The 18,575-nt window shown below is 38.2% G+C and overlaps 1 long non-coding RNA gene across 1 annotated transcript in view, besides 1 other annotated feature; it reads left to right on the top strand.

Annotated features, from left to right (window-relative positions):
- LINC02889 (long intergenic non-protein coding RNA 2889) overlaps positions 1-18,575 on the top strand; it is a 95,465-nt gene that overhangs the window by 49,192 nt on the left and 27,698 nt on the right. The gene's annotated exons all lie outside the window — the stretch shown is intronic.
- Positions 16,983-17,142: a silencer, noted in NCBI's record as "silent region_17986". NCBI's record gives its function as "represses an Ori minimal core promoter by ATAC-STARR-seq in GM12878 lymphoblastoid cells {active_cell/tissue: GM12878}" and the evidence as "EXISTENCE:reporter gene assay evidence [ECO:0000049][PMID:35858748]".

The following is an 18,575-nucleotide window of genomic DNA, read 5'->3' as shown; positions in this document are numbered from 1 at the left end:
ATGTTTTCTACTTCTTGGGTCAAAGTTGGTAATTTATATTTTGGAGATCTGTTGAAATAATGTGTTATCATACAATATGATGAAGTTTTGTTCTAAGAATGCAAGAATTTTCAATATTGGGAAACCTCTTCAGTGTAGTTCATTACAATGAACATGTTAAGGGATAAAAATCCAAATGTCCGTAGAGTAGATGCTTGTAGAAGTAACTGCCAGTTGTCCTTCGTATCTGTTCTTCACATCTTTAAAGATAATAAAATCCCAATTTTAGCTGGCCACATGATTTCCCGGAATAAATACTTTCTCAGACTCTCATGGATTTACTCATGGCCGTATCACTAAGTTCTCACCAATGTAATGCAAGCAAAAGTAGCATATGCATCTTTTGGCAATGTTTGTCCAGGAAGGGGACTTGCCCTTGATTTTTTCCATTTTCTTCTTCTTGTTTTCTAGAATTAAAACATGATAATTGGCCCTGAAGCAGCCATGGGGCCACAGGCTGCTTGTTGAGGTGGCAGAACAGGAGAGGAGGAGCCTGGGTGCCAACGGTTGTGGGTCTGTTTTACCAGCCCTTGACTTACTACATTTATACAATAGAGAGGAGTTCCTATTTGTTTTAAGCCACTGCTATTTTCAGTTAGCCATTTCTCACAGCTGAACTTACCCTATGTGACAACCATTGGCACCCAGGTTCCTCCTCTCCTGTTCTGCCACTTCAACAAGATGGTGTCTCCTTATGTGGCCCAGGCTGGTCTCGAACTCCTTGGCCCCAAGGAATCCTACCACTTTGGCATCCCAAAGTGCTGGTATTAAAGGTGTGAGCCAAAAAATAATAATTTTAAATAGTTGGAAGGCATATTATATTCTTAGATGGAAATACGTACCAATATTATAAAGATATCAGTGTTCTATTTTTATAAACATATAAATACAATGCAATTCCTATTAAAATGCCAACAGAGTTTTCTGTACTCAATTTCCAAAAATGATACTTTATAATTTTTGGGGCCAGGCGTGGTGGCTCACTCCTGTAATCCCAGCAATTTGGGAGGCTGAAGTGGGCAGATCACCTGAGGTCGGGAGTTCAAGACCAGCCTGGCCAACATGGGGAAACCCCATCTCTACTAAAAATATAAAAATTAGCTGGGCCTAGTGGCAGCTGTCTGTAAGCCCAGCTACTCAGGAGGCTGAGGCAGGAGAATTGCTTGAACCCGGGAAGCAGAGGTTGCAGTGAGCCAAGATGGCTCCACTGCATTCCAGCCTGGGTGACAGAGCAAGACGCAGTCTCAAAAAAAATAATAATAATATAAATTTTTTTGAAAAAAGTAATCCTCAAGGATCACCAATATTTTTTGGGAAAAATGAGGTTAGAATTGTCTTACAAAATATTAGAATATAGATGAGAACTACTTATGAAATCAGTATAGTTTGGCATAAGCATAGAAAAAATACATCAGTGGGGCAGAACAGAGAATCAAGAAACGATTATATGTAAAAATGTATTTTAATTTAGTGGGAAATCTATGATTTATTAAGTTGCATTAAACACTATCCTTCTGAAAGAAAGCAGGACCCCTGATTTCTATCTGTTCCATACCAAGAAGGGCTCCAGCTCATTTTTGAAAACACTCCAAACCCCATTTTCAAACTCCATCCACATTCTGTGGAAGCGGCCAACCCTTGGCTCTCTCTCGGACTTAATGGGTACATGCTCCTACAGCCTTGCCTGCCCTTAGAAGCGGGCCCTCACAGAGCCTATTTGGGGAGGAGTTCTGACGCTCACAGGACTTGCAGCAGAGTGTACATTGGAATGGGAATAGATAAATGGACTCAGAGAAGCCATGACCTTTAGCCCTTCAGACTGCTCTCTTCATAAAGAGGCACATGACTAGAGGAAGGCCAGATCAGACTAAAGAGTGTGGACTAGAGCAGGGCAACTCTTGCCTGGGTCTCAGTGAAGTAGTGTCACCATATTCTTTTTCCTTTTGCCATTACAAGTGCAACAACCTCTTCCTCAGCCAGAATATAGGAGTAAAGATAACTTTGAGCATAAATACAGCTGACCTAAAAAGATAATATTTATTTTTGGGCATTATAGTGGCATCACTGCTAGCCATTCCTTACTAATACATATGTGTATCTTTGTATGTGTACATATGTCTGTACATGGAAGTTCATCAACTAGTTTGTTTATCTAAATGACATGTGCCTAAATCTAAAAGGACATATGCCTGTGGGTATTTGTACACAGGGAACTACATGAAATGATGGGTGCTAAAATGTTAATGGTGATTATTTAAACGTGGTATCTCGGGGGGTGGGATATCATGTTTTTACTTTCTTTCTTAGAATTTTATGTCATTTGAGTTTTCCAAAAGATTGTTATTTAAGTAGCAAGAGAAAAAGAATGAAACCATTTCATTATAGAGGAAAACAAAAGACTAAGCCTGGAGAATGTCGGCCAGTTTCTCTCCTTGAATTGGACTTCCTTCTCCTCCCAATGATTGTGACCTCTTTTCTTCTGGTAAAGTGCAGTTTGTTCCCAGAGTTTACCTAGATTTCAACAATTTTATAGGATAGACATCATGAAGTTTTCCCCAGTTTCATTAAATGGATTGGCTAATTCATGAGAGAAGGTAACCACAATAATTAAGCTCTTAATGTGTGCTATGGATGTTAGCCTTATGCTGCGGCCATATCTGGGGCTGGTGTGTTGATAGGGTTACCTAGTGTAAAGGGTCCATGATAGTGGTCACATCCTTCTTTCAAACTGATTTCACAATGAAATGATGTGTCTAGGAAGGGAATTTAGGAATCAGTTGTGGAGATCTGGAAGAGATGTTGTAAAACCCCTAGGAAGAAAGAACATCTTCCACCTCTTCTTGCTTGGGGCCTGGACTGACCTCCCAGATGCCTGCCTTTAGCCAATATTTCTGCTTGCCAGTTATAAAAGTTGGGTAACATCTTAAAGAAGATGATAAAATAACCAAGATAACATAAACAGTAAGATAAAGTGGTATAAAATGAGCACTATAAAATGGCAAAGTAAAAGCCAAGAATTAATAACAAATGATAAACGTTAGAGAGCCAACGATGAAAACTAGAAACTGAAGATTAAAGAAAATAAAATTGAGTTTAAAAATAATAGCTTGAAGAGCAACATACAATCATAAAATACAATATGTAAATTAGCTAAGATAATAAAATTGTTAGACTAATAAATGAGGGGTTAACTGGGACCCTTTGGGGGCTACTGTGAGCAGCAACTGAGCTTCAAGCTCAGTTTTTCCTCCTAGGCTAGGAGTCTGTTGGCAGTGATTTCTGAACTTTGAGGCTCCCATATGGTTGATTTCAGGAGAGCGGAGCCCTGAGGTTTTGGCCGTGAAGGTCCCTTCTTGTATTTTCCCTATCATGTCCCCACCCATCATTTCCAGTCAGGCGGTTGACCTCCTTACCTCTGTACCTCCTCAAACATGATTGATGCAATGTTTATTTTAGCACATACTCAAATATTTGCATTTCTTTGTACTAGTTTATTTTGGTAAAGGGAAAGATTAAAATGAAACCAACTTAGCAAAAGCCCCTAAATTTTACATTTAGCCCTTATTCTCATTTTTTTAAAAAAGAAATCATTAAACACATGAGAGTCTCCTTATTTGTAAAGCCGGTTGTTTAAATCACTTCTGTGCCAGTGCCAATTCATATTGCAAAATTATAATGTTCACCTCATTTTATATATATATATATATATATATATATATATATATATATATATGAAGTACTTAAAGATCTGATTTTTCTCCACATTATCAGCTGTATAATAGGAATGGCCTACACTGCTTTGAGTCTTAAAATCTAGTTTTACCAGGGTTTTATTTCAGTCCTGTAAATAAATGAAAAACTTTTATTAAATGAAATTGATGTCATTGAGATTTAAGTAATGAACAAGCTTTTTCTTAAGTAGGTTAATCATTTTATTTAATCAACCTACAATGATTATGTCATAAGCAAAATGATTTAAATTAAACATATATCCTTGAATAAAATTTCACCTTCATTTGATTCCCATTTGACCAAATCAGTTGTAAAGTAGTCACACACTGTATATACATAGTACTACATGCATGTATTCACTATAAACAGGCAACAGATGGTAAATATATCAAAACTGACACACAAGAGTAATTGTGGTTCAGAAAGATCTTGAAATCTGGGAGAATTTGATAAGACCTCAAAGGGAGGCCTCATCAGAGGTGCTCAGTGGGAGAAAGCAATAAGGCCATTTGGAGATTTGGGCATTGACTGTTTTCTAATTCATTCATTTCAGAATTAGTGACTACTCTCCTTGAGGAAAGATTTCAGCAATATAGTCTACAAAACCTCTTCAAAAGTAATTATTCATTAAATAACAGCAACCCTAGGATTGGCTCTTAAGGATGAGCTAAAGTTATTTTAGTTTAATATTTCAGACCTAAATGAACTTCTCTCAAATAGTCCTAGCTGGTTTAAATTGGTTTTAATGTCACAGTTGTAAGGGAAGCCTCAGTATTGGTGGACCTACTGGAAGATGAGAAAACAGCAGGCATGGTGGTGCCACTGTACAGACTGCATGACAACATTATCTGGCAGAGCTCAAGAGCTGCCCTCAAAAAGCCACAGAACTCAACATACAGTGAAGGGCCACCTGCATGGCAAGGCCATTGTCACCCTTCCTATGCCATGACTTGCTTTGCGGAACCAAGTTTAAATGTATTTCAGATGCTTATGGATCAAGTATGCTTGAGAAACTATATGTATTCCTGATTCCCAAGTACTTTGGGAAATGATACTGTCAGAATCACTGTTAACTCTAAGTCCCCTCCATCACAAGTCCTGATGATGGATTGACCGAGAGGGTCTAGTTCAGCCGTTTCTTAGGACATTATTGATCTCAGACAAAACAGCAGCTTCTACAGGAAGCATTTGGCTGTATAACATAATCAAAACTACTATTTTGAACCCTGGGCTTATAATTATGTCTTTATTTCAGAGTGACCTCATTAAAATATTTGGAGGAATTTGCGTAATTACTTACAAATTTTTCTATACTCTCAAGCAGAACTGACCCTTCTTCTGGGAGTATAGGTGTTACAGATACCACCTACAACTTCTCTGCTTTGCTCAATGGATCTCAGTTTTGTCTGGTGCTTAGAAAAAATATTCATACAGGCTGGGCACAGTGGCTTACACCTGTAATCCTAGCACTTTGGGAGGCTGAGGCGGGTGGATCGTTTGAGGTCAGGAGTTCAAGACCAGCTTGACCAACAACATGGTGAAACCCCATCTCTACAAAAATACAAAAATTATCTGGGCATGATGGCAGGTGCCTGTAATCCCAGCTACTCGGGAGGCTGAGGCAAGAGAATTGCTTGAACCCAGGAGGCAGAGGCTGTGGTGAGCGGAGATCGCACCATTGCACTCTAGTCTGGGCAACAGAGCAAGACTCCGTCTCAAAAAAAAAAAAAAAAAAAAAAAAAAAGAAAAAATATTCATACAATCTCTGGTTTACTCCATTTTACTCTTATTGGCACCCCACACTTGGGAGAAATCTTTGGTTTGATGTACATACATCACAGGTGTATGTACATCTGTCTCTTCTTTGCCCAGTTCTGCCACAATGTTAAGAACAGGTATCTAGGCTTGTTTTATGTTGACTGATCTATTATCTTGCTGACTTTGCTCAGTAAGACTCTCTTAATTAGCTGTAGCCTTGAAACCTCCCACAGTCACTAAGAAACCAGAACGTTTAGGCTTCCAAGACTATAGAGATATAGTATCCGGGGAGCGAAAGGGACACTGAACACAGGAGTGCATTTGAAAAGTCCACTTTGACCCACATTTTGTAGCAGGTTTCTGCCAGGTAAGCCTTTGTACCTATTTTCTCAGCTTGAGTTCAAGGATAATGTTTAGTTTAACTCACTTTTTTTAGAAGCCTGGCCCTTTCCTGCCCTTTCACATCTCCAAGACAGCTTGCTTAAAAAAAAAAAAAAAAATCCCAGTGTATGCTCAGATCATACCAATATAACTTCCTTGCTGTATTTTCTTCTACCTCTTGGATTCCCCATTTTCAGATTCATCTTCCCTGGCTCTAGCTCTGTAAGCACCAACTGTGTATTTTCCTGACTTGACTTTTGATCCCAGAATCCTGATCATCTCTTACATTTTACATAGCCTTTCTTCAAAACGATAATTGATATTAACCCCCACTTTCAGTATTATCCAATTATTTTAGTACCAATATACCATTGTTACAGACATTTCATTCCAGGCATGTCTCATTCTACAGGCAGGCATTGGACAAAGCTAAGACCAAGAGAAAATTGATGAAAGTGGTTCAATCCAACCTAAGTTAGTTCAGCCTAGTTCTGACTATAACAAACTTGGTTCAAAGGGATTCAATTTAGGTTAGAATAATTAAAACTGGTGACCACAACTCAAATTGGAGATTCAGTTTCATGTAGTTCTGTGCTAGTCAGTAGCCTGTTTAAGATACAGTAGGAATAAATTGGAAAAGGAATGTTTTCTTCATTTGGCATCTTAAGACCTTATGTCTGTAAAAGAATTCTTTACTCAGTAATATTCATATCAATCTACTTGAATCTAAGTAATTTCATTTTGAGAAACACTAGATAAAATGTGCTCACTCAAATGGAAAGAGGTTACCTGAAATCTTAGAAAAATATAGATTAGAAAATACATACCACTTCCAACATTTTTTCTTTGAATTTCTAAATGGTAAAATCATCCGTGTCTGAGGATATGAAAACAGAAAGCAGCATAACTTTTAAATCCAATATTATTAAGGGAAATGGGGAAAGAAAAGAGAATGTTAAAACTATGCAAACTATTTCCATTTGAAATACAGTTCTTAAAATTCTAAACTTTGACCTATACTTCTTAAACTATTGAGTCAACACCAAAAAGTATATATTTTTAGGTATCAAGTTGTTCCAAAATCAAAAGAAAGGAGTCTTGTATTAAAAGGATAAAAATGTGTAGTGTAAAACTCATTTCCCTTTGAAGCAGTGTTCATATCCAGTTTTTTAAACCTACCTAAACATCTTATTCAAGCACCATGTTTTTTCAATCAGTTTTTGGCAACATATCTTAAATTTAGAATTAAAACTGTTCCATTGAAGCCTCCCAGAAAAGAGAAAATGAAAAATTAAGTGCTGATTTCAGGCTTATTGAAGTCTCTGTCTAAATCTGCTTTTGAGAATTAATAGTGCCAACGTTATTTCATTTGTGACTTATTTACCATTTGGCTGAAATGAAAGAATAGAAATCATTATCTTATCACATCTCTGCCCCCAGGGCCAGCAATTTCCCTTCAGTGAGTACCTCCTAAGACAATAATTTTTATAGAGAAGTGATGTCTTGTTTGAAAGCAAATATTCTCTTGGCCTCTACTGGAGATGTCTTTTCACACTTAATGGATGGATGGTGCTTAATGTTTGTGTTGTCCTTTGTGAAAAGCTTAGCATTTTTGATACTTATTGTATTGCATGCCATGCAAAAGAATCAAGTTATTGTGCAACTCTTTGTCATTTAGATGCAGCCTAACTAGTGAAAATAAATAGTATCATCATATGAATCTAAGTGATTTGAGGGCAAATGCCTTGGAAAGAGGAGAAAACTATGTATCGTTGAATCAGAATGTCAAGGGATGGAAAAGATCTTTGAGATCATTCAGTCCAAACTTATTTTAGTTAGAGGTGACAAAATTAAAATTTAGAGAGTTTTGGGTTGCTCTTCAAATTCCACAGATTGTTTAATGCAAGAATCAAGCCCAGCTTCCAGAGTTTTTCTGGAAATGAATTAAGTAAATGTCCACAGTGTACTTTTAATCAAAAAGGAATCTCTAAAGTTGCTTGGTTGCCCACAAGCACTGTTAGTCAAGCTGTATATTGTGAATACCATGATTCAGTTAGAAAAAAAAAAATACACTTCTGTTTTCATTTGAAGTTGGGCCACAAATACTCAAATATGCAGTTGGCAGAAAGCTAAATTTCCATCAAATAATTTTGTTTTGTTTAGTTGATTTTCCCCATCTGACCCAATGTCCAGCCAATTTTGAACTTAATTGAAGGGCCCTATTGGGGAGCCTTAGATGATCATGATGATAATTATTCTGCATGATTCATAAAGCTTTCTATAGTTCTCTGGGTTAACTTTTATTTCTGGGAAATGGCCATGGCAGTGGTTTTGAACATTGGCTCAACATTGATATCACCAAGGGGGCTTTAAAAATATTAATGTCTGGGTTGCAACTACAGAGATTTTTATTTAATTGGTTAGGGTAACACATGGGTATCAGATTTTAGCTTGAATGCTCTCTGGGTGAATCTAATGTGTAGCTAAGTTGAGAAAAACCACTGGGTAAGGAAAAATGGTTACTGTCACTATAGCCAACTGGAGGACCTTGGAAATCTCAGCTGCTGCTCCAGTCCTCTTAGGAATCCTCTTCTCGCTCTTGTGTCTCAAAGCTAATATGGTAGGCTACTATGTTAGGGGTCTCTCAAGTAGGAAGTGCTTGCATTTCTCCTTTTTGCCCTTAAGAAATCTTTTCCTGGAGAGTTCCTATTTGGACTCCAGTATTTTCCTGTATTAACATGGCAGAGATGTAAGAATGTAAGTGAAAACCAAGTGTACTGCCATGTTGGTAAGACAGCCAAGTAAAAAGGGCCTCTTGGCAGAACTTTCTTCTGGTCTGTGCACTGGGAGGAGTGTGCACTGGGGTGGAGCCTTGGGAAGTTTGCACTGTTTGTGAGGGGAGGAGCCTGGCCTCTCTTGTTCCAGGTGGAATCTGGGATTCAATCTGTGAGGTGGGAAGCCAGCTGGCAGGACTGTTTCCCATTTTTTTTCCTCCCTCTTTGCCCAATACATTCCATTTTTCTCTTCAAAGTGTCTGAGAGCCTAATCTCTCATGGTCATATGACAAGGACTCCGTTTTTAGCTGAACTAAGGAGAAAGTCCTACAACATTGGGTCAGAAGTCCCAATGCAACGCTTCCTGGCTATTAAGGGTTACATACACTGGTATTCTGCAGAATACTCAAAATCAGCAAAGTGATGCTGTGACAGACCCTTTTTTAATTTCTTTTTGGTCTTGAATACACTTTCTAGTTTTCAAAGTTATAGAGGGGACTCGATAAATTTACCTAAACCAACTTCAGTGTGATATTTCTGTTCCATTTGCAAAATATACCCTTCCAGACTTCTCTAATTTTATACTAGGTAGTTTCCATATTAACCATAGTAAATAAATATGTACCTGCTATTGCCTTTGAAGTTCTTTGGATAAAGTTACCCATGTGAGATAGAGCTTAGTAATATGTCAAAACCTACTCTTGGGACTTACAAGTTAGGGTTTATATTAACATTTTTTTTGGCCCATAATGTTTTATATTAATATCAATTCTCTCCTAATCAGTTGTTACCAAGCCTTTGAGGCCACCTCAGTTTTGGTTTCTAACAGTGAATTTTATACATGTCATATGAGCCGGTTTTCAACTAAACCATCCCAAACATGTCCTCCAAATTAGGAGGAAAACTAAGAAAATTAACATTGTATTTCTTTGCAATGGGGTAATGATAATCAAATAGCCACACATGTAATTTTATTATATTGATTATAAGGTAATTAACCAGTTCCACAGGTTCTAACAGATCCAGTGACCTTTTTCCTAACACAGTTTGGCAATCCCCTTCTCCTTGGTGCCTCTTTGACAGGCATTGCCATCCACATGTCTTTTCTATTATAACCCCCAGCCCTGACTCCCCCTCCAAACTCTTCATCTTCTGGTTTTCAAGTTACTCTACTTCCCATCACTGTGTGCTGTGTCCAGTCCAGTATGTTTTTCTCTTTGTACAGAAACAGCATGATTTGTTCCAGCTCCTTATCCCAATGTGTAGTTTCATTCTTACATTGGGATTTGATGCAAAAGATATTCACCCAGGTAAGGGAAGGGTCTTGAAGTTCAGACTCATTTAAGAAAATTGGCACACTTGCTGAATACCTTGACAGCTTTCTAAAGCAAGAATCATATCAAAAAGCAACAGTTTAAATTTTAGTTTTCACCAGTCTAGCTCCAGTTTCTTTTGCTAGGCTTCTGATTTGACAGCTAAGGCCATAGATGTTCTAGGCAGCCAAATTTGTCAAAATTTTAACAATCTGACCTCTAACAGAAAAGCTGATCTGTTACAGATTGAAAGAGAATACAATTTGAGATCCATGTGAATTCCTTTTTTTCCCCCCAAACTATTTACTCATTATACGTTTAAAGGTCACCAGTATACAGCGGTGTTTCAACTATCTGGGAATTTATTCACTGCTGGTAACCTAAATGCGGCCGCTCTGTTTTTCATTACTGGCTGGTATTTTTAAGTCTGAGCTCTGACCTTCTAACTTAGAACAAAATAACTTGGTTTCAACATTCTCAAACATGGCAAAGAGGTTTTTTATTCCCAAGATGACCACAGGAACCGATGTCATGGTATCTCCTTCAGTAACCAACATTATTCTAAACAAGAGACTCGTATTTTTGTCACATTGGGCTAAAGATGAAGCCACCTTTGCAAAATTATAACTCAGGAAATGATGACAGTGAAAGAAATCAGACCTAACTGCCTCCATCTTTCTTCTAACCTTTAAGCTGTCCTTGTTCATTCCTGAGCATAGGCTGAACTAACTTTGGGAAGGAAGTCAGTTCATGGTTTGACTCTGAAACACAATCGATAATAGTCCTTTCCTGAAAAGCCACCCCCCCCACCCTTCTTGCCTGGGGATCAGTCTATCTTTGCAGGACTAACAAATTAGCTACAAGATTAGAAATTACAGTTTAGGGGTCATGCAGCCTCTGGCTGCAAAAGTCTGAACCTCTCCAAATTGCTCCTGGGGATAACATCACTATTATAAAACTTAAGATCAGTGCTTGAGATATTTCGCAGACCCTACACTGGATGGATCAACTGACACCACCCAGACCGGTAATCTGGCTCAACCAGTTCTGCCATCCCACCCAGGAACAGAAAACAGCAAGAAAACCTCACATAGACCCCCTATGATTCCATCTCCAACCTGACCAATCAGCACTCCTCACTTCCCAAGCCCCTACCCACAAAATTATCTTTAACTACAGGAGACAGGAGTAATAATAAAACTCTGGTCTCCCGCACAGCTGGCACCGCGTGAGTTACTCTTTCTCCACTGCAATTCCACTGTCTTGATAAATCAGGTCTGTCTAGGCAGCGGGCTAGGTGAACCCACTGGGAAGTTACACTGATAGGTGAAAGTTTCAGTTGAAACATTGCCAAGTGTCTGTTGGAGCAGGATAATATTGTCTCTTTCAATAACTTGTTTTTATTCTCTCTTTAGAAACAGTTCTTTGGATGGAAGAATAAAGTTATCAATAGTTTTAGCTGCTTGGTGGGATCACATGTGATTTCCATTTGTTTGATGAGGTTTTTCCATGTTTTAAAACTTGTCACTGTAAAAATGTGGGGCTTTTTGTAATTAAAAAGAAACCTACCAGATATTACAATTATAATTAACGTTGTCGTTAGGCTTTTTTTTTTTCAAATGAGTGGTTTTTTATCTGTCATTCTGGGCAACGGTTTTGAGGAGGAAATTTGCCAAGACTGTAGGGCTTCTCACACTTTAATATGCATAGTAACCACCTGGGATGTCATTAAAATGCAGTTTCTGATCCAGCAAGTTTGGGGTGGGGCCTGAAATCCTGAATTCATCTTATGAACTCCTTGGCAATGCTACTGCTGCTGCTCTGATAACCACACTTTGAATAATACCGCTCTGACCCTTGGTTTTTTTAGCTGGCACCAAAATCACCTGGAGGGCTTGTTGAAATGCAGTTTGCTACTCTTCCACCTGCCCCACCCCATGACTGATTGAGTATATCTGGGGTTGGGCTTGATAATTTGCATTTCTAAACAGGTTTCCACGTGACATTGTTGCTGCTTCAGGAACCTCATTGTGGCTGCTGATCTAGAGCCCTGTTAATCAAAGCCTTGTTTCTGGACCACACCAGCATCACTTGGGAGCTTGTTAGAAATATAGAATCTTAGACCCTACTCAGACCTACAAGGGTAGAATTTGAGAAGCACTACTTAGTCTCTTTGTGCCGCAGAATCAACAACTCAGCTTTAGCTTGTTAGAATCAACTGTGGAACATTTAAAAATCCTGATGCCCAGGCTGAACCTGGAACAGCTTCATTAGAATCTCTGGGGCTAGGGCCAAGGCATCATTAGTTTCTAAAGCTCCCCAAGGGATTCCAGTGTACAGGCATGTTTGAGAACCACACTGTAGATGGAACTGAAAAATCCAGAGAGAGTAATCTTGTTTCCCAACAGAAGGAGACTTGGAGGACTAATTTTCCCTGTTGCCATCCTATTAGACAGTGTGTCATCAGCCACTGGACCAACAGGAAACACTTGGGGCCCAAGCATTAAATTGCTTTGATCACTGGATTTTTAGCAGCCTGCATACACATATCGGCTTTGTTGTTTGGCCTTACTTTGTTCTAGCTTCGTTACATACCAACTGGAGCTAACCTCTCCTGTACTCTGTCATCTCTGGGCTAAGACCTTAGAAATATAACCCATGGGTCATTAGCTTATTTCCCCACCTCACTTTCATTCAAAAGGTATATTCTCTATAAGATTTTAATGGGAACAGAAAGTTCTCCTGCATGGATAGGTCAGGATATAGATTAAGCTAGAGAGAGAAATAGTACATAATTTTACAGATATGAGATGATTTTTGCAATGTATTAAATAGAACAAAATACTGTCCTTGAGCTCATATTGGTCATTTTCCCTAAAAGCACAGTTAGGTTTTGTGTGGGCATGTGAGCTGGAATATTTGCCATTATAAGCCTGTCCTAATATTCTCCAGTTTTAAAACACTAGGCAAGCCAAGTGTTTGTGGTTGATGGTTGATTTTGGAAAAAGTCATTTATTACTCACCTATGAAGAAGTGTTACATTGTTATTTCCAAGGGTTATAAAGGCTACATTTAATTCTGGATAATGTTGAAAGGATGAGCTACCTTTCTACATACAAACCAAAGGAATTCCTGCGTGGATAAGAGCTGTGATCTATTTTGTTTTGGCAAGAAAAGCATAGTTTATGAAGAGAATTGAATTTATTCCAAATACCCTCCTCAGAGACGAGAAATATGTTTGAAATGTTGCTTCCTTTGTACCTCTGTCAACTTTTTAATTTATTTAAATTTTTTTGAATCACCTACTACTACCTGTCAGGCTAATGATTCCTGTAAGCTGATACCCATTGTCTGAATTCATAAGTTCCTTTCACTCTTCCTACATTTTCTTCCCTAGTAAGGTGGCACCTGTTGACCTTGCTGCCTGCCTTATTCCATAGAGGAGACTACTCCCAGCACCTTCTCAGGCGTCTCTTTCAGGCTGTGTGTTGTCCCTGTCAAGAAGCTCTCTATCTCTATCCTTATGCCATCTCCCCTGAGGACAGGAAGCACAACTACATGCAGAGTTTCAGATATGCTTCAGTTTGCCTTCTCATTCAGGTGGAAAACAAAATCCCCTTCATAAACATTATTGAGAAAGTTATTGAATAAACAAACCATAAACTATGGCATTTTTATTACATGGAAAACTCAAAAACAAATATCCTTAAGGAATCCTCCTTCATTCCTCCATAAATGTTACTAAATGTTTAACAACTATCTTTGGGGGTAGAGGTGAGAGGCTTGATTTGTGGCATTTGCTAATTTCAGTGGCATAAAGATTCCTATCATGAGTGACTTCAAGCTGTTGCGTAGAGATGTACACAATACACTCTTGCAGGTTATTGTGAGTCAGACCAGGCCCAGCACACCAAAATATTAGGTGCCAAAACATTTGTGATATTTTAGGCTTCCAGATCTCATTTTCCTTTCATTTTCAAATGACAGGGAGACTTATTAGTCAGAAGATGTCTCAAAGATATATATTTCCCTAGCAGGTGTTGTCTTTGTAATCTACTCCTGTATGACTGTTTTTCAGGACGGTTTTAGAATCATCTCAGGAATCTCCAGTACAACGTACTTTTTTGTCTGACCAGCATTCTCAAATTCCTGTAAAACTCAGGGTGAAAAGCAAAACAGCTCAGTTATAATCCAATAGTATATTCAGGAATCAAGGTGTAGTGCCTAAACCGTAAGTCACAGAGCATGAGAATGTTTAGAGCTGATTTAAAAGCCATCTAAAGTTGTGTTTCTTAAAAAAAGTAAGTCCATGTATGTCCATGGCTAGTGAAAATAAAAATGGAATGGCCTCCTGGACATGTTATGTCTTCTACCCCCTAGTTGAAATCATAAAATCTATGAATATTGCCAACAATTGAGGTTCTACCAATTTTTAGTCTGTATTGTTATAAGAATATTTTTGTTTTCGAAAATCTATTAAAATGCTCAATATAATTTGAAAAATTTATATGCCCTACTCTTTTCAATCTCAAGATTCTAAAATACCTGGCAAGGGAAAAAGCAATGTGACAGATCCCCTATTGTACCTCTGCCTCTCATTGAGAAACTCTGATCTAAAGACTGAGCCACCTGCTAGAGGCCACCTAATAAAACAACTGGTAGTAAGACAGGAGAGTTTCCTGGTCCACCTCACAGGACGTGTGACAGGGATGTGGCTCTCTGTTTGGCTGCTGCTAGCTCAAACCCTTATGGGAGGGGGAGCACAAAGATGGGCAGGTGTGCGAACTAGGGTGAGCGCTTTTGGGCTTTGGCCCCACAGCAGCATCTAGGGCTGGGTGCCTGTGACTGTTGAAGCCCCACTGTTACATTTGCTCTTTTAGCTCTGCAGTCCACAGACGGCTTAAGTGTTAAGCAATTTAGTGGACTCCCCTTGGTACCCAGCTTCTTGTCCAGCGTCCAGGAAGGATCAGGTCATACACAGATTTGAAGGATGAATGCAGGGGTTTTATTGAGCGGTGGAGGTGGCTCTCAGTGGGATAGATGAGGAGCTGGAAGGGGAATGGAGTGGGAAGATGATCTTACCCTGGAGTTTGGTTGTCCAGTGGCCGATCTCCTCTCTGACGGTCCCCAGCCAAACTCCTCTCGGTGTTCATATGCTTCTTCTCTACTCTCCTTCTCTGCCATGCCGCTCTGCCATTCATCTGCTCATCTGCCTCTGGAGCTTGGGGTTCGGGGTTTATATGGGTACAAGATCAAGGGTGTAGTAGGCCAGAAGGCAACTTTTTGGGCGTGAAAACAAGAATGCCTGTTCTCATTTAGGACTGTGGGTTTCCAGGCTTAAGGCTGGGGTCTTTCCTGGTAGCATTCGTCTACTCAGTATTTCCCTCTCTCCTGTCCCTATCAGTGGGGACCACAATTTTTTACTTATAGAAACAAATATACTACCACCCTTCTGATTAGACTTCATATTAAAAGGGTTATGTATGTGTTTTATATATTTCATCCTTCTGAATGGCAAAGTCCTTTGGAAACCAGTTCAGTAACTTGGAAAGCAAAACATTTAACTTAAAGTTTTCATATGTTTTAATACAATGTTTATCTCCAGGTAAATCTCTATGAATAACCCATACAAATGCATAGAAAACTAAACACATTAGATATCGTATGGACTATATTTTATGTTTCTTAGGCTAACATTAAATATACATCAAATTCTCTGGCCCCAGAATAAATAGGTATAATTCCTGTAGCAGGGTACTAAGGAAATCCTATGTTAGCACTAAAATATTACATAGCGAAATGCAAACCTGCTCCTTGTTAATTTAATAGCATTGTTTGCATCTCTCAAGATGCTTTGGGGATACCAACAGTATGAAGTTAACTGGACATAATTATTTAAAGTAATTTACTAATTTTGGTTATATAAGTATATTGGAAATAACAAAGAAGCAATGTATATATGCTGTTTCACAAACCTAGATTTCGCCATTATTTTGTGTACTGGTGTTAGAACATGTGGAATGTGAATTGCCATAAATTGTACTAAAGAAAGTACGGAAGTGAGGCAACCATCATAATTGTTTTATGTGTTTTAAGCTGTTGCTAATGCTTTCCTAGATGTTAACTTTCCATTACATTGTTGTGGTTATGTTATGACATCCTTGCTAGTAAGGGGTAAGCTTAGCAATATTTATATGTTGCTTCTTAATGATTGTATTCCAGTTCTGGTTAGTCTTGCCTTACTGTATAGATGGCTTCTCTATGAGCATAAGGATGGTAGACTTTCAGGAGCAAATTAATGCCTACAGGATTTGCATATTTCTTACTGAAACAATTCTCAATCTTCTACCAGTCCAGTTTCTAACAACTTATGTCATGTGAAATCCTTATATTTATATGAATGTAAATTTTTAGTGTCCTTCCTTCAGAGTTGGATAAACTTGACTTTATAGCTCCGTCACTTTCTCACTGTTAAGTTTAGGCAAATTATGTTCAATCTATAAGCCAACCTCAGTTTTTTGTTTTGGAAAACTGGACAAACACTTTGGGGTTTGTTGTGAGAATTATATGTGAAAATGAGCATAGTCCTGGCACTATGCATATATAACTCATTACATGCTATGCACATATGGGCATAAATACATATAGACGTGCATGTGTATCAATAAATAGAGATGGAAATAACCCTATATGCATATAGAACTTAAGCCTTTTGCATAGTCCTTGCACAAATTGTCACACTTTGCTGCAAATCTTTGGAAACCTTTATAGCATCATTGTTACCAGAGATGACATGCACTGCTGTAAACAAGGAGAATACATTCTTTGATGACCAGAAAAGAATTCCTGTTGTCTGTGGGTGGACATGATAATCTTTTGTAGAGCAGGGACTTTTTAAGAGGTTGGTTCCAGCAAGCTTGTTTCATAGATTCTTACATAGAAATGTCCAGTGATCAAATGAGCTGTCTAAATAGAACTATAGAATGCGAACTGGAGGAGTAGTCAGTATCACCTTGCCAACCCCTTTATTTACACAGTGGCAGACAGAAACCCAGAGAACTAGAAAAATGACATTTGAGGTTTCACACGCTAAAAGTGAGCACAGAATTACTTGCCGTTTCATGTTGACGATTCTGGAAAACTCATTTCTTGTTAGGGCTTGCATGATCTTAGCCCAAGAACATTTTGAACACAATGCCAACCATCCAGCTTGGGGACAAATGGAACAAGCTTCTCAAGATGAACTGTCTAAATATTCAACTGGAAGCTGGGAAACAGCAGTAAAATAGCCAATCATTTTGTTTCACATGTTATATATGATGGTAGATTAATTAGTGTGAACCTTGTGTGGGTAGGAACAGCATGTAGTTCAGCTCTGAACCTTGGCCAATAGGAGGCATCTAATAAATTTATGTCGTGAAGCATCTAGAATACCATAGGTTCCCAATTAATGTGCGTGCAGAGCAATTAGTACATGCTGGATAAATGTTGAATTAAATTTGGGGGTCGTAGGTGTACCAGGCCACTGAACACTATGATAATGATTTTTGTATCATCCACATTTTCAAATTCTCTAACATGAGAACAAAGAAGAGAAACAACGTAAAGTACAAGTTACATACAAATGCAGAACATAGAAATAACATAAGCAAAGAAATCACATTTGGAACATAATTAAAGTCCATTTGTAATGTGTTTGTGTTTAAGAGTTTTATTCTTGGCAAAACAAATTGTTGCTTGAAAGATGAAAGACTTATTTTACAAATGGCTTCAAATGCAATTACTTTCTACAGAGCAATTAGTTACCGATAGCATTTTAATGGAATAATATAAATGAATAAAAAATATATGAACCTGACTCTCCTGAATTCCAATATGATTGCAAATGAATGGAAAAGATACTCTTATGAATACTTTTAGATTTTTAAATCCAGAAATTGTTGTTGGTAGCTTGCTATATATGAAGGATCAAACATGTATCTGGGCCAGGTGCGGTAACTCACCCCTATAATCCCAGCACTTTGAAAGGCTGAAGTGGGAGGATTGCTTGAGGCCAGGAGTTCAAGACCAGCCTGGGCAACATAGCAAGACCACCCTGTCTCTAAAATTTAAAAAATAAAGGAGAAATGTATCTGAATTTACATATCCTTGTTCAAATATTTATTCATTGCTTCTACACACATTCACTGAGAGCCTAAAATATGCCAGGTACAGCAAGCATTTGTTACTTAGGGAGTGGACAACACTTTAATTAGGGCTTCGAGCATCAGAAATCCAAATTTTAAAAATGTTCTCTTAATTTTTGCATCTTCTTGTCCTTGGTACTTGTGTGGACATAATTGCCTTTGGTATGCCAAGGTGCAAAAGTGATAAATTAGCTCAATTAGGCCACATCTTGCAATGATGTACTTTACCTTCTATCAGCTATTTGGGTAACTCTGATATATTTGCTGCATTTTCAATTACATACACTTTTTCTTCCTCATCTTGGTTGTAGTCTTAAGGTCTGTATCCTTCAGATAATACATTTCATTTGTTTCATACGTTACATAGAATTACAGTAGATGTCTCCTAGGTT

This window comes from Homo sapiens, chromosome 7, assembly GCF_000001405.40.
Source record: "Homo sapiens chromosome 7, GRCh38.p14 Primary Assembly".
Lineage (NCBI taxonomy): Eukaryota > Metazoa > Chordata > Mammalia > Primates > Hominidae > Homo > Homo sapiens.
The sequence above is the reverse complement of the archived record's forward strand: the minus strand, read 5'-3'. Positions and strand labels throughout refer to the sequence as shown.